Source organism: Homo sapiens, chromosome 3 (genome assembly GCF_000001405.40).
Source record: "Homo sapiens chromosome 3, GRCh38.p14 Primary Assembly".
Taxonomy (NCBI): domain Eukaryota; kingdom Metazoa; phylum Chordata; class Mammalia; order Primates; family Hominidae; genus Homo; species Homo sapiens.
This window is the reverse complement of record NC_000003.12, coordinates 165429680-165454932: the sequence shown is the minus strand read 5'-3', so window position 1 is coordinate 165454932 and position 25253 is coordinate 165429680. Positions and strand designations below refer to the sequence as shown.

General features: G+C 37.1%; 1 long non-coding RNA gene across 5 annotated transcripts in view; it reads right to left on the bottom strand.

Moving 5' to 3' along the window:
• Window positions 1–25253, bottom strand: part of LINC01322 (long intergenic non-protein coding RNA 1322) — a 332490-nt gene that overhangs the window by 84505 nt on the left and 222732 nt on the right. The window contains exon 4 of one of the 5 annotated variants that reach the window (NR_174100.1): window positions 8670–8890. The exons of the other annotated variants lie outside the window; for them this stretch is intronic. This is a non-coding gene — a long non-coding RNA (long intergenic non-protein coding RNA 1322). The remainder of the gene's footprint in view (window positions 1–8669; window positions 8891–25253) is intronic. 5 annotated transcript variants of the gene reach the window in all.

The window sequence follows — 25253 nt, the reverse complement described above, 5'->3', positions numbered from 1 at the left end:
CACCTTCCCACTCCATCCCCCTTCTGGCTCCCAGTCCACCTTGGTGAGAGCTACCTCCACCACTCAATAGAACCTTGGACCCATCCTCCAAGCCCATGTGTGATCTGATTTTTCTGTGACACTAGGTCAAGAACCGAGGATACAGAAAGCCCTCTGTCCTTGACATAAGGTAGAGGGTCTAATTGAGCTGATTAACACAAGCCACAAGATGACAAACCTGACAAAGCACACTGTAATACACACTCACTGGGGCTTTGAGAGCTCTAACACTCACCCTATACGTTGCTGTGGGGTCAGAGCCCCAAAATGCACCCCACAACCTGCCCCTGTCTGCATGCTCCCCCTAGGGGTTTGAGCAGCGGGGCACCAAAGAAGCGAGCCACACCCCTATCACACACCCTAGGAGGGGGATAAGGGAACTCCTCCCATTTCAGAATGATGGTGGTATTTTCATGGGAAATGCATTGAATGTATAGATTGTTTTTGGCAGTATGATCATTTTCACAATATTGATTCTACCCATCCATGAGCATGGGATGTGTTTCCATTTGATTGTGTCATTGATGATTTCTTTCAGCAGTGTTTTGTAGTTTTCCTTTTAGAGATCATCCATCTTTCATCTTTCATTGGTTAGTTATATCCCTAAGTATTTTATTTTATTTTTTTTCACAGCTGTTGTAAAAGGAATTGAGTTCTTGGTTTGATTCTCAGCTTGCTCACCCTTGGTGTATAGCAGCACTACTGATTTGTGTACATTGATTTTCAATCCTGAAACTTTACTGAATTCCTTTTTCCTCTCCATGAGCTTTCTGGACGAGTCTTTAGGGCTTTCTAGTTATACAATCATATCATTGGCAAACTGCAACAATTTGACTTCCTCTTTATCAATTTGGTTGCATTTTATTTCTTTTTCTTGCCTAATTGCTCTAGCTAGGAATTCCAGTACTATAATGAATAGAGGTGGTGAAAGTGGCCATTCTTGTCTTGTTCTAGTTCTTGGTTCTTTCAACTTTTCCCAATTCAGTATAATGTCGGCTGTGGGTTTGTCATAGATAGCTTTTGTTATCTTGAGATATGTTCCTTCTATGGCACTTTTGCTGAGTATTTTAATCATAAAGTGATGCTGAATTTTGTCAAATGCTTTTTCTGCATCTATTGAGATGATCATATTATTTTTGTTTTGAATTCTGTGTATGTGATGTATCACATCCATTGACTTGTGTATGTTAAACTATCCCTGAATCCCTGGCATAAAACCAACTTGATCATGTGGATTATCTTTTTAATATGCTGTTGAATTCAATTAACTAGTATTTTGCTGAGGATTTTTGCATCTATGTTCACCAGGGATATTGATCTGTAGTTTCTTTTTTGTTTGTTTGTTTGTTTGTTATATCTTTTCCTGGTTTAGGTATTAGGGTGATATTGGCTTCATAGGATGCTTTAGGGAGGATTCCCTTTTTCTCTCTCTTTCGAAGTAGTTTCAGTAAGATTGGCACCAATTCTTCTGTGAATGCCTGATAGAATTCAGCTGTGAATCCATCTGGTCCTGAACTTTATTTATTTGCCTTTTTAAATTACTGTTTCAATTATACTACTTGTTATTGGTCGGTTAAGAGTTTCTATTTCTTCCTGATTTAATCTAGGAGGGTTATATATTTCCAGGAAATTATCCATATCCTCTAGATTTTTTGAGTTTGTGTGCAAAAACGTGTTCATAGTAACCTTGAAAGATCTTTTGTAGTTTTTTTTTTTTTTTTTTTTTTTTGTATTTCTGTGAGGTACTGTTCTATTTGTCATGTCAGTTGTTGCCTGAATACCTTGGGTTTTTTTTCATTGTGTTGTTTTATAGGCACTGTGAGATTTATACATTAAACAGTTTCTATTTTGGTGTATTTTAAGATTTTGTTTCAAGATTAGAACTCTTTATCATTTCTTTAGTGCAGCCTTGGTAGTAACATTTGTTTGTCTGAAAAAAATACTTTATCTTTTCTTCATTTTTTGAAGCTCAGTTTTGCTAGATACAAAATTATTGGTTGACAATTATTTTGTTTCAGGAGGCTAAAGACAGGACCCAATACTTTCTGGCTTGTAGAGTTTCTGTTGAGAAATCTGCCGATAATCTAATATGTTTTCCTTTACAGGTTACCTGGTGCTTTTGTCTCACAGCTCTTAAGATTTTTTTCCCTTTTCTTGACTTTAGGTAACCTGACGACTATTTGCCTGGGTGATGATCTTTTTGGGATGAGTTTCCCAAATGTTCTTTGAGCTTCTTGTATTTGGATGTCTAGATCTCTAGCAAGGCCAGGGAACTTTTCCTCAATTATTCCCTCAAATATGTTTTCCAAAATTTTAGGTTTCTCTTCTTCCTCAGGAAAACCAATTATTCTTAGGTTTGGCTATTTAACATAATTCCAGATTCCTTAGAGGCTTTGTTCATTTTCTTTTTTTTTTTTGTCTCTCTGTAATTATGTTAATTTGAAAGCCTTGTCTTCAAGCTCTGTCTTCTACTTGTTCGATGCTATTTTTGAAGGTTTCCAGTCATTTTTTATGTCTCTTAAGTGTGTCTTTCATCTCCAAAGTTGTGATTATTTTTCTTTCTAATATTTATTTCTCTGAAGAATTTCTCATCCATATTCTGTATTTTTTTAATTGTTTTAAAGTTGGTTTTCACCTTTATCTGGTATCTCTTTGAGTAGCTTAATATCAATCTTCTGAATTATTTATCTGGGAATTCAAAGCTTTATTTTTGTTTTGGATTCTTTGCTGTGGTCTTTCTGGGGTGTTATAGAAACTTGTTTTGGCATATTACCAGAATTACCTTTTGATTCCTTCTCATTTGGGTAGACTATTTCGGTGGAAAGGTCTGGAACTTAGGGGCTGCTGTTCAGATTCTTTTGTCCCACGGTCTCTTGTTGTGGTGCACGCCTCCTTCCACTAAAGATGGGGCTTCCTGTGAGCCACACTGCAGTGATTGTTATTACTCTTCTGGGTATAGTCACACAATAGGGCCACCAGCCTCTGGCCTGGTGCTGGGGAATGTCTGCAAAGTGGCTTGTGATGTTATCTGTCTTCAGGTTTCCCAGCTATGGATACCAGCACTTGCTCTGGTGGAGGTGGGAGGGGAGTAAAGTAGACTCTGTGAGAGTCCTCTGTTGTAGATATGTTTGGTGTGCTGGCTTTCTCGAATGCTTGTTATGCTAGCAGTGAAATTGTCACATGGACAGACTCAGGACCACTGGTTAGCCGGGATGTTGCAGGTAGCAGAATTAGCTGTTGTTTCCTCCTTCCTGGGAACAGGGTTATTCTGTATGAGTTTCTGTAATGTCCTGAGTTGGTTGGCCTCCAGCCATGAAGTGGTGCTTTCAAGAGAGCACAAGAGATTTTTGCCTGTCTCATGGAATTTTCAGTGACCTGCCACTTCTTTCAAAGTATCTGTGAATTCTTTTGGTTTTCAACAAGCATTGTACCAAAGTGGGTGCATTCCTTCTCTGTCTAGAAGTAGCCATTATTTTATTTCTTTACTGTGCTAACAAACTTGTTTTCACTTTACTTTGTGGACCCTCTCCAAATTATTTCTTGCATGAGATCAAGAACTCTCTCTTGGGGTCTGGATCAGGACACATTTCCGCTAACAGTTATATAATTAGTAGAAAGCACTCATTCAAATGATAGCCTTAGTCCTATAAGTTGTTTGATGTTGAAAAGTTACATTTTAATGTAAGTTTATACAATGGAAATAAACACATTCATTCAACTAACACTTACTGAGTTTCTATTATGTTCTCAGCACCATTCTCTCTCTCTCTCTCTCTCTCTATATATATATATATATACACACACATCTTATATATAAATCTTATAAATATAATCTTGTATAATGTCATATATGTTGTATATATCATATATGTCATAAATGTCACATATATGACATACATGTCATGTATATCATATATATATATGCCATTTGAAGGAAATAAAAATATTACATGCCAAAATATGGCTCCTTGATATAATGAGTACTTTAAATTAAAGTCTCTCCTAGATTAACAAGCCCTGGAATAGGCTTTTTTCCTATCTACATAAAGATAAGAACTGACCTACAAAGGAGAACAATTATTCTTGTTCCTCTCCTTGTTATCTCATTATCCATTACAGGAAAGAAAACCAGAAACATAACTATATTTGAACAGAATCCTTTTCCAGAAACACTGTCTCTAAGATTTCCTTAATTCCATAGAAAACAATTTACAATTTTATTTCTGTTCCCTAGTAACATTTATTGTGCCTTAGTAGAATTCCTCTTTTCTCCCCTGCTCTTCTAACCTATTTTACCAGGATCCAAGCCTTCATTCTTTCTGTAACCTCAAGATTGTAAATAAGCCTCTGCACCTCATTGGGAAGTTGGTCTTCACTTCATTCTGAAGTCTCCCATGTATATGCCTTTAATAAATTTGTATGCCTTTTCTTTTACTAATTAATCTGCCTCATGTCAGTAATTTTCAGTGAATCATAGAGGGCCAAGAGCCTTGTCCTCCATACACTGGAAAAACGGACAGTGTTCCTTCCCTAGTGAGGTATATATTTCAATTCAGAGCATATGCAAATCTTATTTTCCTGGTAGAGATTTAGAGAAAGAATTAAGAAGATAACTATAAGAAGACTACTTAGTACATTGCCTGGCAAGAAGTTGATGTCCATTAAATGGTAACTAAAAAGAAATATTTATATAAATTAAATATGTTTTATTATCAAGAGAAAAAATTACTTCTAATATTGATATACTCTTAAGATGAATAATCTTACCAATCATGAATTTAAGATAGTATCTATTCAAATTTTATTGAGGTTATTAGTGCAAAGCAGGAGATATTAGATGAGTTCATCAAAAAACAAATTGTAACACTTCAAAGTTATATAACAATGAAATATTTCACCAAGGGAGAACTTTGTAAATGGCAACCTTTTTCTCATTATGGAGTTGGCAGGTAATGATGACTGGACATGGTGAGATTACTAATCGGCAATAAAGCAGGTAGTGTAACATCAAATCCACTACCATCCCAATTCTGCAGAGCAAATTACTAAGAGGATGTGTTCCTTGTGGAAATTGGATGTGTATTGTCTAGGAGATTGAAAAAAGACCACTGTGAAATTGTAGGCTGCTTATCATCAGCTCTCTGAAGGCAGGAGTAAAGCCCTGCTTTCTAATATTTGCAAATTCCTGTGATGCTATTATTTGGTACTGTTCAATTATTGCATGCTTTGTTTATTCAACATTGCCAGGGAAGAAAGCAACATTATTACTGAAACATAAATACAACTAAGAATATATTTCACACTCCCATAAAGAGAATTTATAATAAACGTCCATTTGTTCATGCCACAGAAAGAACAATCTTAACTTTCTGTCATATTTTCATCAGATAAGGGTATCTTAGGTTTTGAAAACTGTGTTCTCAGAAAATAAATAAAATAAAGAATATTCAGAGTAAGATTTTTAAAAATTTTTTAATTTTTCATTTCAATGGATTTTGGGGGAACAGGCAGTGTTTGGTTACATGAATAATTTCTTTAGTGGTGATATCTGAAATTTTGCAGCACCCATCACCCAAGCAGCGTATACTGTACCCAACTGTAGCCTTTTATCTCTTGCCACCCCCTACCTTTTCCCCCAGTATCCATCAGTTTTGTTTGTTCTTGTTTCTCCAGTTTTATGAGACGTGACCTTAGATTGTCTATTTTTGCTCTTTCAGACTTTTTAATATAGGCATTTAATCCTGTGAACTTTCCTATTAGCACTGTTTTGCTGTATCCCAGTTTTGATAGGTTGTGTCACTATTGTCGTTCAGCTCAAAAAAAAATTTTAACTTCCATCTTGATTTCATTGTTGACCCAACCATCATCCAGGAGCAGGTTATTTAATTTCCATGTATTTGCATGTTTTAAGGGTTCCTTTCAGAGTTGATTTCCAATTTTTTTCCACTGTGGTCTGAGGGAATACTTGATATAATTTTGATTTTTTTGAATTTACTGGGACTTGTTTTGTAGCCTATCATATGGTCTATCTTGGAGAGTGTTCCATGTGCTGATGAGTAGAATGTGTATGCTGCAGTTGTTGGGTAGAATGTTCTGTAAATATCTGTTAAGTCCATTTGTTGTGGAGTACAATGTAGGTACTGTAGGTCCATTGTTTCTTTGTTGACCTTCTGTCTTGATGACCTGACAAGTGCTGTCAGTGGAGTATTAAAGTCCCCCACTTTATTGTTTTGCTGTTTATTTCATTTCGTCAGTCTGGTAGTAATCGTTCTGTAAATTTGGAAGCTCCAGTGTTTGGTGGATATATATTTAGATTTGCAATGTTTTCCTGTTGGCCTAGTCCTTTTATCATCATATAATGTCCCCTTTTGTCATTTTTAACTGCTGTTGCTTAAAAGTTTGTTTTATCTGATAGAAAAAATAGCTATTCCTGCTCACTTTTGGTGTCGATCTTCATGGAATATCTTTTTTCACCCATTTACCTTAAGTTTATATGAGTCCTTATGTGTTGAGTCTCCTCAAGACAGCAGAAACTTGGTTTGTGAATTTGTATCTATTCTGCCATTCTGTATCTTTTAAGTGGAGCATTTAGGCTATTTACGTTCAATGTTAGTACTGAGATGTAAGGTACTATTCTATTCGTGTGCTATTTGTGGCCTGAATACCTTTTTTTTTTTTAATGTTGTTATTGTTATATAGGTCCTGTGAGATTTATGCTTTAAGGAGGTTCTATTTTAGTGTATTTTGAGGAGGATTTGTTTCAAGATTTAGAGCTCTTTTTAGCAGTTCTTGTAGTGCTGGCTTGGTAGCGGCAAATTCTCTCAGCATTTGTTTATCAGGGAAAGACTGAATCTTTCCTTTATTTATGAAGCTTAGTTACACTGGATACAAAATTTTTGGCTGATAATTGTTTTGTTTAAGGAGGCTAAAAATAGGTCCCCAATCCATTCTGGCTTGTAGGGTTTCTGCTGAGAAATCTGCTCTTAATCTGATAGGTTTTACTTCATGGGTTATCTCATGCTTTTGCTTCACATCTCTTAAGGTTCTTTCCTTCATCTTGACTTTAGACAACCTCATGACTATGTGCCCGGGTGATTTTTTTTTGTGATGAATTTGCCAGGTCTTCTTTGAGCTTCTTTCATTGGATGTCTAGATCTCTGGCAAGGCTGGAGATGTTTTCCTCAATTATTCCCTGAAATATGTTTTCCAAATTTTTAGATTTCTCTTCTTCCTTGGGAACACCAATTATTCTTGGGTTTGGACATCTAACATTGTCCCAAACTTTTTGGAGCCTTCGTTCATTTTTTGAAAAAATTCTTTTGTTTTTGACTTTAATGGTTTGAGTTAATTCAAATGCCTTGTCTTCAAGCGCTTAAGTTTTTTTTTTTCTGCTGTTCAACTTGATTGCTTAGACTTTCCAGCGCATTTTTCATTTCTCTAAGTGTGTCCTTGATTTCCAGAGGTTATATTGTTTTTTATTTATGCTATCTATCTCACTGAAGAATTTTCTTTTTATATCCTGTATCATGCTTTTTATTTAAGTTGGACTTAACCTTTCTCTTGTGCCTCCTTGATTAGCTTAATAATCGACCTTATTAATTATTTTTTGGCAATTCAGAGATTTCATCTTAGTTTGGATCCATTCTTGGTGAGCTGGTATAATTTTCAGGGGGTATTAAAGAACCTTGTTTTCAGGGGGTATTAAAGAATCAGAATTGTTTTTCTGGTTCCTTCTTATTTGGGTAGACTATGTCGATGGGAAGCTCTGGGATTCAAGGTCTGCTGTTCAGATTCTTTTGTCCCTCGGGGTGCTTCCTTAATGTGGTGTTCTGCTCCTTCCCCTAGGAATGGGGCTTCCTGAGAGCTAAACTGTAGTGATTGTTTCCACTCTTCTGGGTCTAACCACCCAGTGGAGCTACTGGGCTCCAGGCTGGTACTGAGGAGTGTTTTCAAGGAGTTTTGTGATGTGATCTATCTTCAGGTCTTGCAGCCATAGATACCAGCACCTGCTCTGGTGGAGGTAGCAGGGGAGTGAAGTGGACTTTGTGAGGGACTTTGGTCGTGTTTTTATTTAGGGTGCTGCTTTTGTCTTTGTTGGCCTCTAGCCAGGAGGTGGCACTTTTGAGAGTGCATCAGCTGCAGCCCTATAAGGAAATGCGAACTTGCCCTAGGCACACCTGGTTAAGTAGTCAGGTTTCTTAGGCAGTGGGCAGGGCCATAGAGTTCCCAAGAGATTATGATTATGATTTTTGTCTTCAGCTACCAGGATGGGTAGAGACAGATCACCAAGTGGGGGCAGAGATATGGGTGTCTGAGCTCAGCCTCTCCTTGGGCGGGGCTTACTGCAGCTGCTGTAGGGGATGGGAGTGTGGTTCCCAGTCCAATGGATTTATATTCCCGGGGTGATTATGGCTGCCTCTGCTGAGTCATACAGGTCACCAGGCAAGTGGGGGAAAGCCAGCAGTCACAGGCTTCACCCTGCTCCTATGCAGCCTGCAGTCCTAAAGGGTGTTCTCAGTCCCACTGTGCTTCCCCAACACCACCAAGTCTATTTCCAGGTAGCCAGTGACCAGGGCTGAGAACTTGCCCCAGTCCACAAGCCTCCCTGCTGAGAAAGCAAGCAGACTCACAAGTTTTCTTCAGCATCTCAGGGAGCCTGCGGTGGTGATCAAGATCCTTCTGTGGATTCTCTCAGCTTTCCTGGTATGGTCCTGCAGTAGTTCTTGGAGCAAAAGTTCATGATGTGAGTCTCCACACACTGGTCTGTCTGTCTCAGTGGAAGTTGCAGATTAGTCCTGCCTCCGATCTGCCATCATGATTTTCTCTACTTCCAGAGTAACATAAATTTGCCCTGCAATTTATTTTAATCATGATAAAAAATATACGATTAGGAAATATCCTTCATTATTTAGTGTAAACATAATGCAAAACTTTTAAAAATATGAGGTAACTTGAAATGTTGTTTGTCTTTACCTAAGGGTTGAAAGTATCAAAAATAAAGCACTGTCGACAGCCAGGTACAGTGGCTCACGCCCGTAATCCTATTACTTTGGGAGGCTGAGGTGGGTGGATCACGAGGTCAGGAGTTCAAGACCAGCCTGACCAATATGGTGAAACCCCGTCTCTACTAAAAACACAAAAATTAGCCGGGCATGGTGGCGCACGCCTGTAGTCCCAGTTACTCAGGAGGCTGAGGCAGGAGAATTGCTTGAACCCGAGAGGCGGAGGTTGCAGTGAGCTGAGATTGAGCCACTGCATTCCAGCCTGGGTGACAGAGTGAGACTCTATCTCAAAAAAAAAAAAAAAAAAAAAAAAAAAGAAAGAAAGCACTGTCTATATTATACATTTATATTCTCGATTTTGGAGTATGTTTAAGCCATAAATTCTGATACTACTTAGAGTTGGGCCAAACTTCACAGGTTAAGGACATAGATTTCCAAAAGAATGCCCTCACTGCAGAGCTGGCTACTAATTTAAGGCTTCTACTACTCCTCAGGTTCAATAATTCACAGAACAAAGGAAAGTGCTATTCTTATGATTAGAGCATTATTATAGCAAAAAGATACAAATCAGAACCAGTCAAAAGAAGAGATTTGTAGGGCAAGGTATGGAAGGATCTTAAATAAGAGGGATCTTTTGCCTTTTCCCCATGGAGTCAGGAGGAATCACCCTTCTGTCATATCTACATGTGACCATATGTAGATTATTGCCAATCAGGGAAGCTCATCTGAGATTTGTGCCCACAGTTTTTACTGGGGTTTTGTTAGGTAGACATGATTGATTCAATCATTTGCTATGAGATTGAACTCAGTCTTCAGCCCCTCTCCTCTACCCAGAGGTTATGCTATTATCACGTAGTTCAAAGCTCCTAAACCTCTAATCATATTGTTGGTCTTTCTGCTATGTACAACCTCTATTCTGAGTCATCTCATTAACACAAACTTTCTAGGGGCGCCCATGAATTACCTCCTTAGGACAAATGTATCATCATCAAGGCTCACCAAGAATGATAAAGACATTCCGTTCCCTAAAGATTTACATCCTTTCCAAGGATTTGAAGCTACTTCTTGGGAATCGGAGGCAAAGGCCAGCCAAATTCTTGATTACATAGGAGTTTATTTTGAAATTTTTATCCCATCAGTACAATCTAAAATATATAAATTGTTATTTCATATTATCTTCACTATTGAGTATTGAGAAATTCAGAAATGTCCACTTGTACAAAGGTTATTTCTAGTGGAAAAGCCCTGGCTAGAAAGTCCACAGCACCGTGTTTATGCTTCAGGTAGCAGAAAACAAAGAGCACAATGTTCAAGCCAGAGGCCACGGGTTTGAGCTCTAGTTCTGTTATATACTAATGGTGATTTTGGACTAATTGCAGCCTCTGGGTCTTAATTGGCTATTGTGAAATAGATACAATAATAATTCCTATTCTGGCTGAATAACAAGTCGGTTGTAGTTTACAAAGAATAGCTAATTAATATAAAAATAAAACTATAAAACTATTTTTGTTGTTTTGAGATAGGGTCTTGTGCTCTGTCACCCATGCTGGGTGTGATCATAGTGCAGTGGTGTGATCATAGCTCACTGAAGCATATAAAACTCTTATAGATGTTATTTTTAAGTCCTAGCTCTAACACTCTTTACCTGTGTAACCTGATGTAACCAGTAAGGAACAAAGGGATATGTAGATGTCCTATGACCACAATGTGCTGATGAGCTCACTTAAATTAACTTAGTCCTTTAAAGAAACCTGACAAGAAGGTGTGATTATCTACATTTTGAAAGTTAAGAAAATTAAATTGAGAAAGATTAAGTACTTTTCTGACTTCACATAAGGAGTGACTATCAGACCTATTTAGGCTATACTATTTTACGTGACTTATCTAAATGATGGACTGCAACTGTATAATTCCTATGATAACTTCCAGCTGTAAAACACCATGACATTTTCTTTTGAGAGATTACAGATTGTGTGGTCAAAAAAGACTAGTGGCCATCTGACCTCAGCAGGAAAGAAGGCCAAGGTACTGGGAGGGATTGTGACATCTTTGAAAGCAAATAGTGCAATTGTTTCTCAAAGGCAGATGATAGGTACTAGGTAAGAAGGTTATTTTAGCAGTTGATGTAAGATATGTTATGTTATAGTGACAAAGCACATTAAAATATCAGTGGCTTAACATAATAAAAGTTGATTTCTCCTATTGATGCTACATGGAGAACTATAAGGGTTTCACTCAGACACCCAAGTGCTAAGATTGCACGGAAGCTTAAGTTTTCATGGGCAGGGAAGATAATACATCATGAAACAGCTTGTAAAGTTTCTGTTTGGCTATTTTTTTTTTTAGCTTTAAGGGGGCAACAAAGGACAATTCTATTATATGTCTAAAGGAAGGAAAGCTGGACATATTTAGAAAACACCTATAACGAATACTGTTTCACCTACTTTCCATTTGTATAATATTCTGCAAGTTGCAAATCACTGTATTCCACATTATTTCACTAATGATGACAATAATGTTGGTACTCAGAAACCAGCACACCAAAATGTGAAGCCTCTTTATCTTCCCAAGATTTGGACCCACCAGGGAATATAACAGTTTTCTTCCCTCTCTGTAAGACCAAAGATATATCCACACCGGAACAGACCTTTTTTTTGAGGTAATGACTATCTGCAAGCATCATTTAAATTCCAAAGAGAACTATTTACAAGTTAATTTATGTTCCCAGATCCATCATTTTCCCTAGTAATCATTTATTGCCCTTCAACGGAGTTCCTCTTCTCCCCGTCCCATACATAACCTGTTTTTCTGTAACCTCATTCTGTCTGTAATCTCAAGATGGCATATAAGCTTCTGTACTGCATTGGGAAGTTGGGTCTTCATTCTGAATGCTCCCTTGTATACACATTAAATAAATATGTATGCCTTTTCTATTATTAATTAATTTGCCTCATGTCAGTGATTTTCAGTGAACCTTTATTTAGGGAGCCAAAAGTCTTGGCCCCCAACAATAAAAAACTGCATTAGTAATAGCTCAGAAATAAGCATACATGCAATATATAATTTTAGTAGGCTTTGAGTGCCTCAACTCAAATAAATTATATAAAAGTTTTGGCATTAGACTTTTGCAACCAAAGTAATATGTTGAGGTAAAAAACCGTCGTATTTATGTAAGAAATCCAAAATTTGGGGGTTTCAAACCATTTAGTTCAGGAACCAGAATAGAAATAAAAATAGTGAAGCAACACAAGCAGTTTTCTATTCTCTGCCATATACATACACACTTTATATATCCCATGTGAAAAATAAGTAGAAGAACCATATAAATTACTGCCCAAACTAGGACACTTTGGGAGTAAACAGAGATATTATTAATACTTACAATAAGACAAGTATAAAGCAGAACTATTACACAAAACCAGGCATGTATTATCATCCTAAAAGAGTTCAGAAAGAAATTATCTTTAATGATTTAAAAATTAATTTATTTTTTTCTTTCTATGCTGTAAATATACAACCATAACAGTTCAAGTTGAAAAAGCATTTATTTATCTACTTCTTTATTTAACAAACATGTGTGTGTACTTTATGCCAAGCACTGATATACACTGGGGAGAGAAGTATTAATTTGCTTTAGATGAGAATTACAGAATGAAGTTACAAGTTTATAAACACAATTCTTAAGAAACATTCATCTGATATGTTTTGTGATGCTGAAACATAGCAGATGATGATTTCTTAACTAATTTTTATAGAAATCTCAAAAACATTTCCCAATTCTTAACTTATTTCCTTTAGTTTAAAAGTCTAAACTATTTTCAGTATAAATTTGAAACTAAGTATATATGCATTGATGTGTTTAAAATTAAAATAAATATAAGCAAATTACACTTTGCTTTATGATCCATGTCTCACTAAATACTGTTTGATTGCCTTAACCTATTGAATTTAAAAACAAGAACCATGCAACAGAGGCAATTTCTTTAAAAAGCTTGATAATAGTACAGACATTTCATAAACAAACTTAAAATGTAACAACATGAAGATTTTTAAGGTAGAATTTTCTAGCTCTACCATTTGTGGGGATCCTCTTTGACTCCCAAATTTGGCATAACATTTATTTTAAATTGAAAATATTTGAACTAGAGAAGATGCAGCAGAAATCTTATTGGAACTTCCCTTATCTGCTAAAGTATAAACTCCCCAAAACATAGCTGTTATTAACCCTCCCCAAAGGGAGTTTCCTGCAAATTAGCTGCCAAGAAGATAATCCATTTCTGTTACCATTAAACAACCCTATGGAATCTCTCATACTCTCTCATTGGAGCCCTAAAATCTTTCCTTTCATTAAGCTTATATATAGAAACATTTACTTCCGGCTATTCTATGACTTTTTCCATTATTGAGAGCTCCTTCATAAGCATATAAATCAACATTGTCTTTTCTCCTGTCAATATGTATATTGTCATTTAATTTCCAGGCCACCAACCACTGGACCCAAGTGAGAAGAGAAAAATATTTTTTTTTGCAACACATTCTTAGATCTGTGATATAATTTTATATTTTTCCTTTGAAAAAGTAACCTTTTCTCCTTAAATGATTTCTAGACAGTTTAATAAGCTGTACTATGGTCCAAATGTGTCTCTCCAAGCCTTACCATAGGTTTTATATGTTGACATGTGGAGACACAGTAATAAGGTTCATCTACAAACGAGGATAAAAGCTCTCAACAGACACTCAATCTGCCAACACCTTAGACTTCCCAGGCTTCAAAACTAGGAGAAATAAATTTTTATTGTTTACAAGCTAACCAGTCTATGGTATTTTGTTATAGCTGCCCAAAAAAAATGAAGACAAGGTAGTATTGCTTGAGGTAGTGAGTTTTTAAAATATTCACGTTACTCGATTTTAAAATTAGGAATATCAAATTTTTATTAAAAAATAGTTGTGAGATTAAAAAGATTATATAATTTAAAAATGACATGGCAATTTGGAATGTACAGAGAGAGTTTAATGTAAATGTTTTGATGAATGAATTATTTTAATCACTAATTAATTGTAGTTGTGAAGAAATTTAAAAAGTTATTCTACAAATATAGCAAAGATAAATTTAATTAGAATTACCACAGTTATTCCAGAAAAAAATAAATAAATACAGAACACAAAATATTCTACAAAATAATCTAAAATAGCAGTAATAGCTTGACTACTTATCCAGAACTTTATGCAACTGAGAAACTTGAAAGTACGGGGCCTAGCCATTGAACACAAAACCACTAGTTGGTGATAGTCCCACAAATAGAGCTTGCGGCTAGCTCCTAGCTAAATGTGAAACAGCAAATGAGAAACTTCACCTCAGTAGAGTAAGCAGACCCAAAAGTCCCCTTTTATGTGAAAATTATTTTTTAATGTTGTCATAAAAGATATTCTAAAAGTATTTTCTAATACTTACTCAGGTGGTTTGGATAGCCAATAATAAGCAATTAGGAGGGAGTATTTTTTTCTAGCAATGAAACATCCATAAAGTGTGCCAAAAAAGGGATATATGTCATGTCAGTCCAAAGCATTTGTAGTACACAACTGCACAAAATGTCAGGCTGAGTAGAGGTTAATGAAGCAAGGAAGAAAACAATAGGAAAGAAGGGAGGAGAAAAAGATATTTTTTAGTAACTTCTTGCAAAGAGAAAACAAAAGGAAGCTACAGATTTAGAGACTATGATCTTTAGAAAAAGCTACCAAAAGGATCTGATAAGAAAGATAATAGTATATCTGTCAAGGACAACAAATCTTGCCTTTCAAAGTTCTAATGACACAGGAGAGAATGAATCTGAGTGATAAGGCTCGATCTCTCTTTACAAACACAGGACAAGGTAAACCACAGGGGAAATAACCAATGAAGATGAACAGAAACAGAAGAAAGTCACGTTTCCTGTATCATTCAGTTTCCTTCAGGTTGCATCATACTATCAAATATTTTCATCCTTTATCCACCCCTTTCCCTTTCACATGCCCTTGAGTAAAATGAGCATTTTATTTTCCCTGGCATCACTCCTTCTTCCTCATTCTTCTCATCTCTTTCTCCTTTCCTTTCAACTGTTATTTCATACAGAGATCCAATACCAGTCACCACTGTGTTTTAATGCAGTAAACCTTCAATTCTACACATATAAATTCTGGAAAAAAATTGAAAATGTAAGTTAAAGTGTAATACATTTACAGAGATTTCATTCTTCACATGTAGCATTAACACAACCACAAAAAGAAGCAGAAATAAATCATTCCAATTTTATCTTCATAAGGAAAGATTATGACTACTTTTCTCAACAGTAGTAAAACACTCAGTTGATACAAATGGGTGTGAGTATTGGTTACATTACTTATGGTGGTCTGTCTTGTATAACGTTTAAGGGGAATATGTAATACTTTCCTAGATTTTAAATTAAGACTTGTGAAAAATAATAGTGAATATAATTAGATTGTCAAACACCAGTACATAACTAGAAAACTGTCTATTTATATACAGAAAAATGTGTAACATGTAAAATGCATGTATCATATCTGAAATTTTTATGATTTTTAAAAGTACAGATTTTATAACAGTAATAATAATAACAAAAACAATGCCAAGAAAAACAGCCAGAAATTCTGCCAAGTGCTTTATGATAGAACACGAGCAGAAAGAATTAAGCTCAAATTCTCATCATGGTCACTATTCCCTTAAGGAATAAGTTTTGTTGACCAGGTGTGGTAACTCACATCTGTAATCCCAGCACTTTCGGAGGTCGAGGCTGGCAGATTGACTGAGCCTGGGAGTTTGAGACCAGCCTGGGCAACATGGTGAAACCCATCTCTTAAAAAAAATACAAAATGCCAGGTGCGGTGGCTCATGCCTGTAATCCCAGCACTTTGGGAAGTGGAGGTGGGCAGATCACCTGAGGTCAGGAGTTCAAGACCAGCCTGGCCAACATGGTGAAACCCTGTCTCTACTAAAAAATACAAAAATTAGCTGGGTGTGGTGGTGCATACCTGTAATTACAGCTACTCGGGAGGCTGAGGCAGGAGAATCACTTGACCCTAGGAGGGAGAGGTTGCAGTGAGCCGAGATGGTGCCACTGCACTCCAGCCTGGGCAACAGAGCAAGACCCTGTCTCCAAAACAAAACCAAATAAAAACAAAACAAACAAACAAAACAACAACAACAAAAAATTAGTTGGGTGTGGTGTGGTGGCACACACCTGTAGCCCCAACTACATGGAAGACAGGTAGGAGGATTGCTTGAGCCCTGGAGGTTGAGGCTGCAGTGAACCATGATTGCACCACTGCTCTCCAACCTGGGTGACAAAGCAAGACCTTTTCTCCAAAAAAAAAAAAAAAAAAAATTAAATGTATTGTAAAACATGCTTTTAAATCATGTATTTAAAAAATTAACATATAGCACCTTGGCATATTTAGTATTTTGGGTTGAAAACATCCAAGAAAACCACAGAAGCAAGTCTCTTTTACCTTATTCCACCCCAACCCTCCCCTTCTCCCCTGAAGATCATAAAACCTAGAAAGAATTTTTTGAACTTCCCCTGAAGGAGTCATAAGATACTCATATGAGAGGTGATGTCCCTATACCCGAGGAAAAGGAACATTCTTCTATCTGGAGACAAAAGGTCACAGGGAAGAATCTGAAGAATAGTCCTTGCTGCTGTAGGGACAATGGAAAACTTTCCCTTCCTCTCTCAAGGCTAGAGTCTGCAGAAATAAACTGACAATAGAGTAACAGGAGAAAAGGCATACAACGTTATTAATGTACAGATGTGCATGGGAGCCATGCAAAATACGAGAATCAAAGAAGGGCCAGATGAGGCTCAAATCCCCTCTTTATGGAGGAGAGGAAAATGGAGGATGTAGGCAATTTTTAGGGGATAGTAAATGATTTTCAATGAATTGATTGGGCCCAAAAAGAGACAATAACGTGTAAATAATTCTCTCTAGAAGTTGAATCGACGGAAGAATAGATAATAGCATTTGACAAAATCTATATAGGTGTGGTGACTTTTCTCAGTCTTCCTTTCTGTGATATGTGTTTTATCTTTCCTGGCTAATGGAATCTCAAGGAAGTGATCGAAGGCAATTATATTACTTAAGGAGGAGCTTCAGGTAAGGGAACTTTAGAGAGAGAGTTCCCCTCTGTGTCTGGGGAGAAAAATAGAAGATCAGAAGACCCTTGGTTCTGAGGCTGTTTCTAAGGCCTTTTAAATTTCCTTCAATGTGAAATGCTCAGCATGCCAAAGTGCCAGATTATGGGGAATCATTTTATGAGCTTCAGCACTGAGTTTCCCCCAAGTTATTAACATTTGATTGATAAAGTTTAGGAAACACTACTCCAAAATATGGGAACTTGGCATTTGAGGAAACAGCAGAAGCAGAAAAGTCACTCTCAACTTCCTCTTGCCCTTCTCTCCTAAAGCAAGTAATAAAACCCAGAAAGTTTAGTTTTTGACCTTCTACCACTTTTCTCCCCTGGCAGGCTATTAAGACCTTCATGAGAGAAATGTCCTCGCTATTCCTGGAGGAAAGGAACAAGAATGTTCATATCCCTGAAGACACAGAAACATAAAGAAAAATCTGAACAAACAGGCCTTGCTAAATTCCCCCCAGTTTATTGCCATGAGATTGTACACTTGTGTTTTCCAATCATATTTCTCCATGACTGTTCACTCTTCATCAAACTAAGTATAAAAATATACATTTACCTGTTTCTTTGGGTCTTTATTTCTTTATTAAGGCTCCTATATCACATAAAATTTACATTTAATAAATTTGTATGTCTTCAAGTCTGGGCACAGTGGCTGATACCTGCAATCCCAGCACCTTGGGAGGCCAAGGCAAGTGGATTACTTGAGCTCAGGAGTTCAAGCTACCAGGCAGGCCAAGATGAGAGGATGGCTTGAGCCCAGGGAGGCAGATGTTGCAGTGAGCCAAGATGACACCATTGCACTCCATCCTGGGTGACAGAGCCAGATCCTATCTAAAAAAGAGAAAAAAAACAATGTATGTTGTTTTTCTCTTGTTAATTTGTCTTTTGTTGTAGGGACCATAGCCATGAACCTGAGATGGGAGGAAAAGATATATCTGTCCTTTTATGACATAAGGCCTTTTGTCCTATCATATATCTCATGACTGTGAGATATATGAAAAATACTCGGGTTTAACTGTTTCTTTGGGTGTCTTCATTTCTTTATGAAGGCTCTCCTTTCATGTAAAACTTATATTAAATATATGTGTATACTTTTCTCTTGTTAATCCGTCTTTTGTTATAGGGGCTATCATCACTTGATAGGTTCTTCCTGCCTTCTGCACAGACAAAATTAGTCCACTGAGATGGCAGCATTGCAGCAGAGAAAGAGTCAAATCAATGTGAGGCTGGCTCATTTTGGATTACTGAACTTATCATTCAAATCAGTCTCTCTGAAGGCTCAGAGGTTAGGGATTTTATAAATAATTTGGTGGACAGGGTGCTAAGGAATGGGTACTCCTGATTGGTAGCGGATAAAATTTAGAGGTGTGGAAAATAGTCCTCTTGCACTGGGTCTGCCGCTGCAGCCCATAGAACCAATTGAGTTATGAGTTACAATTCTGGATTGGTGAGTCTGAAAAACATCTCAAAAAAGACCAATCTCAGGTTTTGTAATAGTGATGTTATCTATAGGAGCAATTGGGGAAGTCACAAATCTTGTGATATCTGGTCATATGACTCCTGAGCATTAAAACTATAGAAGTTGCACCTACATCCTAGCAGAATTCATGCCCCACCCATAGGCCTATTCTTGTGGCCTTCTGTTAGTCTTACATACGTGGTTTTTGGTTCCTAAGCAAAGAGGAGGTTAGTTTTAGAGAGGGACTCTTATCATCCTTGCTTTTAAGTTAAACCAGAAACTAAATTTGCCTCCAAGTTACTTTGGCCTACGCCCAGGAAAGAACAAGAACAGCTTGGAAATCAGAAGCAAGATTAAGTGAACTATGTCAGATTTCTCTGAGTGTCATAATTTTGTAAAGGTAGATTCAGGGCCATTAACCTATGCCCCTTTCAGGCAGAATGGACTCTCTGTGACTAACTGAGGTGCTCAAAGTTAAAATAGAATCAGGTATCCATGGCTGGGTCAGGGAGCATTCTCTGTGTTCTCAGAAAGTTATTGTAAAAGTGTCACAGAACTTTTTTTTTCCTACCATCAAGCCAAACCAGCTCCTCTTGTCAGCACTGAAATAGACTGCAGCTGGACATTCCCCCACTGACTACCAACAGACTACCTGGTGCCAACTCATCAACCACTTGGAACCAACCAGTTAAGAGTGACAGGTGATTTGGGGCTACACAGTCATTCAATCAAGATTCTGTTTCTGTTTCTCACTTCCCTGACTCCCATCCCCTGTTATTATTGCCTCTATAATCACTAACTCTCAAAACACCCCACCACCTGTCTGCTCTTCTTTTACATCACAGGTTGCATCTCCCCAATCTGCAGTTGTTTTATTTTCTTCCTTTTTTTTTTAAGAAGATAAAGCTCTCCTTTTTTTTCTTTCTGCGGATCTCATGGTCCTTTTTTCACAGACTTCCCCTTAACTTTGGAAATGCTGGGAGCCACCAACTTAGTTTCCCATTTGCTGTCCATGCATTCTATAGAAAACCCTGATTATCAAAAATGTATGACCCACTTATAGAGAACATACAGTCAGTCATCCTCTGCAAAAGTGAGCTCTGTTAAAGAGAGAGGTCCTAATGTCACAATAAAAAACATGGCAAGTCCCGTGTACAAGTCAATACATTTTAACCATAAATGTAAATAAAGAATCAAGGAACACTGGATACTGGGGAAAAAATCAATAAAATGAATGTGAAGAATAAAAATGTAAAATGGAATAAGTGACATTAGGAGACACAGAAAAACTTTAGGATACAGAAGATAACATTAAAACTTTTCTAGATCATCATCTGAGAAAGATGGCAGATAGCAGATGGGGCTAACATACAGCTCCCACTTGGACGGAAAGAACAGTATGTGGAGATTCACACTGTGAACTTTGGCTCCAAGAACCATCACAGAAACATACCAGGAAAACCAAAAGAATTCACAGATCCTTTGAAAGAAGCAGCACACCACTGCAAATTCCATGAAACAGGCAAAATAGTGTGAGTTCCCAAAGTATGAGAGGGGTAAAACCTGTCTCCAAACAGACATCCCTGGGGAATCTGAAAACACAGATCACGGGAGAAGAATTTAACCTTATCTAGAGCTGAAACTGATTTAGGGAGCCACATTAAATATAAAAGTAGAAGCAGCAGTGGGAAGAGCCTTCTAGGCACTCTCGGTCTCCAGCTTGAGCCCAGAAAAGCCATCCCTGACTATATCTCACAGGGCCTTGAGGCAAGACAACCAGTGGTTTTAGGGAGGGGCCACAGAATGAAAGAAGCTTTCAACTGAAAATTATAATAATTTTTACTGGGCACTAATGATCTTCAGCAGAATCTTGGGGGTGAATGGGAACTGCTGCCGATATGAGCACAGAAGCCACTAATGACAATGTGGCAAGATGGAGAGGAGCAAGTTCCGAAAGCCATGCTTGCTTTCTTAGTGGGGAAGCTTACAGCCTGAGGCAAGGTCTGAGAGGGACACTGTGGGAGCGAGACCTGCCTCACCAACTGCCTAGGGTCTGGGTGAGGCTTTTTGTTACAGCTATCCCCTACTTCTCTGGTGAACTATTTGACACAGCAGAGGCAGCCATAATCCCCTCCGGAACATAACCCCATTGTCCTGAGAACCACCACCTCAACCCCCATGGTGGCTATGAGAAACCCTACCTAAAAAGAGTCTTAGCCCAGACCCACCTAACCCTTTGCTCTACTTCCCAGTAAGTTCCTCATCTTCATCTGAGACCGCCTCAGGCTGGACTTCATTGTCCACATTATCATCAGCATTTTGGTCAAAAGCATTCAACAAGTCTCTAGGAAGTTCCAAATGTTCCTAAATTTTTCTGTCTTCTTCTGAACCCTTAAACTGTTTCAACTTCTGCCTGTTACCCAGTTCCAAAGTTGCTTCCACATTTTCAGGTTTTCTTTATAGCAATGCCCCACTCCTGGTAACAATTTTCTGTTATTAGTCTGTTTTCATACTGGTATAAGGATACTAACTAGGATGGGGTAATTTATGAAGACAAGAGGTTTAACTAACTCACAGTTCCACATGGCTGTGGAGGCCTCAGGAATCCATGGCACAAGGTGAAGGGAAAGCAAGGCACGTCTTAAATGGTGGTGGAAGAGAGTGAGAATGCAGTGGAAACTGCCACTTTTAAACCATCAGATCTCATGAGAACCCCCAAACTATCATGAGAACAACATAGGGGAGACTGTCCTTATGATCCAATCACCTCCCACCAGGTCCCTCCATTGACACATGGGGATTACAATTTGAGATGAAATTTAGGTAGGGACACAGCACCAAACCATATCACTAAGGAAGGAGGAGAATAGCACATCAAGGAGTCACTCCTTGGGACAAAAGAATCTGAACGGCAGATCTTGAGTTCCAGACCTCTTCCGTGAAAGAGTTTACTCAAATGAGAAGAAATCAGAAAAGTAATTCTGGTAATATGACAAAACAGGGATCTATAACACCCAAAAAGATTACAGCGTCTCCCCAACAATTGATCTAAATCAAGAATAAATCTCTGAATGGCCAGTTAAATAATTCAGAAGGTTAATTATTAAGCTACTCAAGGAGATACCAGAGAAAGGTGAAAAGCAATGAAAATAAATTTAAAAAAAAACCAGGATATAGATTATAAAATGCTCCAGAGAAATAAATATCATAAAGAAAACACAATCACAAATTCTGGAAAGGAAAGACACACTTGGAGAAATACAAAATGCACTGGAAACTTTCAACAATAGACTAGAACAAGTAGAAGAAAGGACTGCAGAGCTCGAAGACAAAGCTTTTTAATAAACCCAATCAGAAAAAGAAAAAAGAAAAGTAATCAAAACAAATAAAGCCTCAGAGAAATTTGGGATTATGTTAAATGGCCAAACCTAAGAATAATTGCTGTTCCAGAGGAAGAAGAGACATCTAAGTTTGGAAAACATATTTCAGGGAATAATCAAGGGAAACTTCCCTGTTCTTGCTAGAGATCTAAACATCTCAATGCAAGAAGCTCAAAGAACACCTGAGACATTCATCAGTCATCAAAATATCTAAAGTCAAGATGAAGGAAAGAATCTTAAGAGCTGTGAGGCAAAGCATCAGGTAAGCTACAAACAGAGATGGTTAAACAAACACAAGTAAATGAATGTGATACACCAAATAAACAGAATTAAAAACAAAAACCATATGATCTTCTCAATAGATGCAGAGAAAGCATTTGACAAAATCCAGCATTGCTTTATGGTTAAAATCCTCAGCAAAATTGGCATAGAAGGGAAATACTTTAAGGTAATAAAAGCTATCTATGACAAACCCACAGCCAACATTATACTGAACAGAGAAAAGTGGAAAGCATTCCTCATGAGAACTGTAACAAGACAAGGATGCCTACTTTCACCTCTTCTATTTAACATAGTACCAGAAATCGTAGACAGAGCAATCAGACAAGACAAAGAAATACAAGGCACCCGAGTCAGTAAAGAGAGAGTTAAACTGTTGCTGTTTGACAACGATATGATCCTATACCCAGAAAACCCTAAAGACTCTTTCAAAAAGCTCCTAGATCTGATGAATAAATTCTATAAAGTTTCAGGATACAAAATCAGTGTACACAAATCAGTAGCACTGCTATACACCAACAATGACCAAGCTGAGAATCAAATTAAGAACTCAATCTCTTTTACAACAGCTGCAAAAATCAAAATAAAACGAGACAAAAACACTTAGGAATATATCTAACAAATGATGTGAAAGATCTCTACAAGTAAAACTACAAAACACTGCTGAAAGAAATCATCAATGACACCAACAAATGGAAACACATCCTATGCTCATGGATGGGTAGAATCAATATTATGAAAATGACCATACTGCCAAAAGCAATATACAGATTCAATGCAATTCCCATCAAAATACCATAATCATTCTTCACAGAACTAGAGAAAACAATCCTAAAATTCATATAAAACCTAAAAAGAGCCCACATAGCCAAAGCAAGATAAACAAAAAGAGCAAATCTGGAGGCATCACATTACCCAACTTCAAACTATACTATAAGGCTATAGTTACCAAAAGAGCATGGTGCTAGTTTAAAAATAAGCATGTAAACCAATGGAACAGAATAGAGAATCCAGAAACAAGGCCAAATATTTACAGCTAACTCATCTTTGACAAAGCAAACAAAAACATAAAAGTGGGGAAAAGAAATCCTATTCAACAAATGGTGCTGGGATAATTGGCAAGCCACATGTAGAAGAATGAAACTGGATCCTCATCTTTCACCTTATAAAAAAATCAATGCAAGATGGATCAAAGACTTACATCTAAGAAATGAAACCCAAAAATTCTGGAAGATAACGTTGAAGAAAGTCTTCTAGATGTTTGCTTAGGCAAAGAATTCATGACCAGGAACCCAAAAGCAAATGCAACAAAAACAATGAAAAACAGATTGGACCTAATTTAACTAAAAAGCTTATTCACAGCAAAAGAAATAATCAGAAGAGTAAACACACAACCCACAGAATGCAAAAAAATATATTTGCAAAATATGCATCCCACAAAGCTTTAATATCCAGAATCTATGAGGAACTCAAACAAATCAGCAGGAAAAAAAAAAACAAATAATTTCATCCAAAAGTGATCAAAGGACGTGAATAGACAGTTCTCAAAAGAATATATACAGATGGTCAATAAACATACGAAAAAATACTCAACATCAGTAATTATCCAGGGAATGCAAATCAAAGCCTCAATGAGATACCACCTTCCTCCTGAAAGAATGGCCATAATTAAAAAAAAAAATAGATGTTGGCATGGATATGGTGAAAAAGGAACACTTATACACTGTTGGTGGAAATGTAAACTAGTACAACTACTAAGTAAAACAATATGGAGATTCCTTAAAGAACTAAAAGTTGAACTACCATTTGATCCAGAAGCCCTACTACTGAGTATCTACCCAGAGGAAAAGAAGTCATTATATGAAAAAGACTCTTAGAGATTTTTTAATGTCCTCACTGTCTATTAAATATTCTTGTCCTCAAGGAAAACATCCATCAGACACTTAGGAAATAGTTATGTGCTGTACCCTAAAAAAGACTTCCTTTTCTTTTCTCTTTTCTAATAATATTGGTATGATAATAAATGAACAATATCATTATCAAACATGTATCTCCTTCCTGATGGAACCAGCCTAAATGCCCATGAACCAACGAGTAGATAAAGAAAATGTGGTGTGTATATATAAATGTGTGTGTGTGTGTGTGTGTGTGTGTGTAAATACCATGGAATACTGCTCAGCCATAAAAAGGAACAAAATAATGGCATTTGCAGCAACCCAGTTGGAGTTGGAGACCATTATTCTAAGTGAAGTAACTCAGGAATGGAAGTCCAAATATTGAATGTTCTCACTTATAAGTAGGAGCTAAGCTATGCGGATGCCAAGGCATAAGAATAATATAAACTTTGGGGTCTTGGAGGGAAGAGTGGGAGGCAAGTGAGGGATAAAAGGCTACTCCTTGGGTACAGTGTACACCGCTTGGGTGACAGGTGCACCAAAATCTCAGAAATCACCACTAAAGAACTTATCCATGTTAAAAAAAATTATCATCTATTTCTATGCTGTATATATAAGTTATTTTATATTCTTATGCCTTGGCATCTGCATCGCTTAGCTCCCACTTATAAGTGAGAACATTCAATATTTGGATTTCCATTCCTGAGTTACTTCACTTAGACTAATGGTCTCCAACTCCATCCAGGTTGCTGCAAATGCCATTATTTTTTTCCTTTTTATGGCTGAGCAGTATTCCATGGTACGTACACACACACACACACACACACACACACGCACTTATATACACATACCACATTTTCTTTATCTATTCGTTGGTTGATGGGCATTTAGGCTGGTTCCATGTTTTTGCAATTGCAAATTGTGAAATAATTATATTTGACGCTTCCTGTATTAAAGTAACAAATTAGTATTAGAGTTTTCAACATGGAATAGTAACAAAAAGTTGTTTTT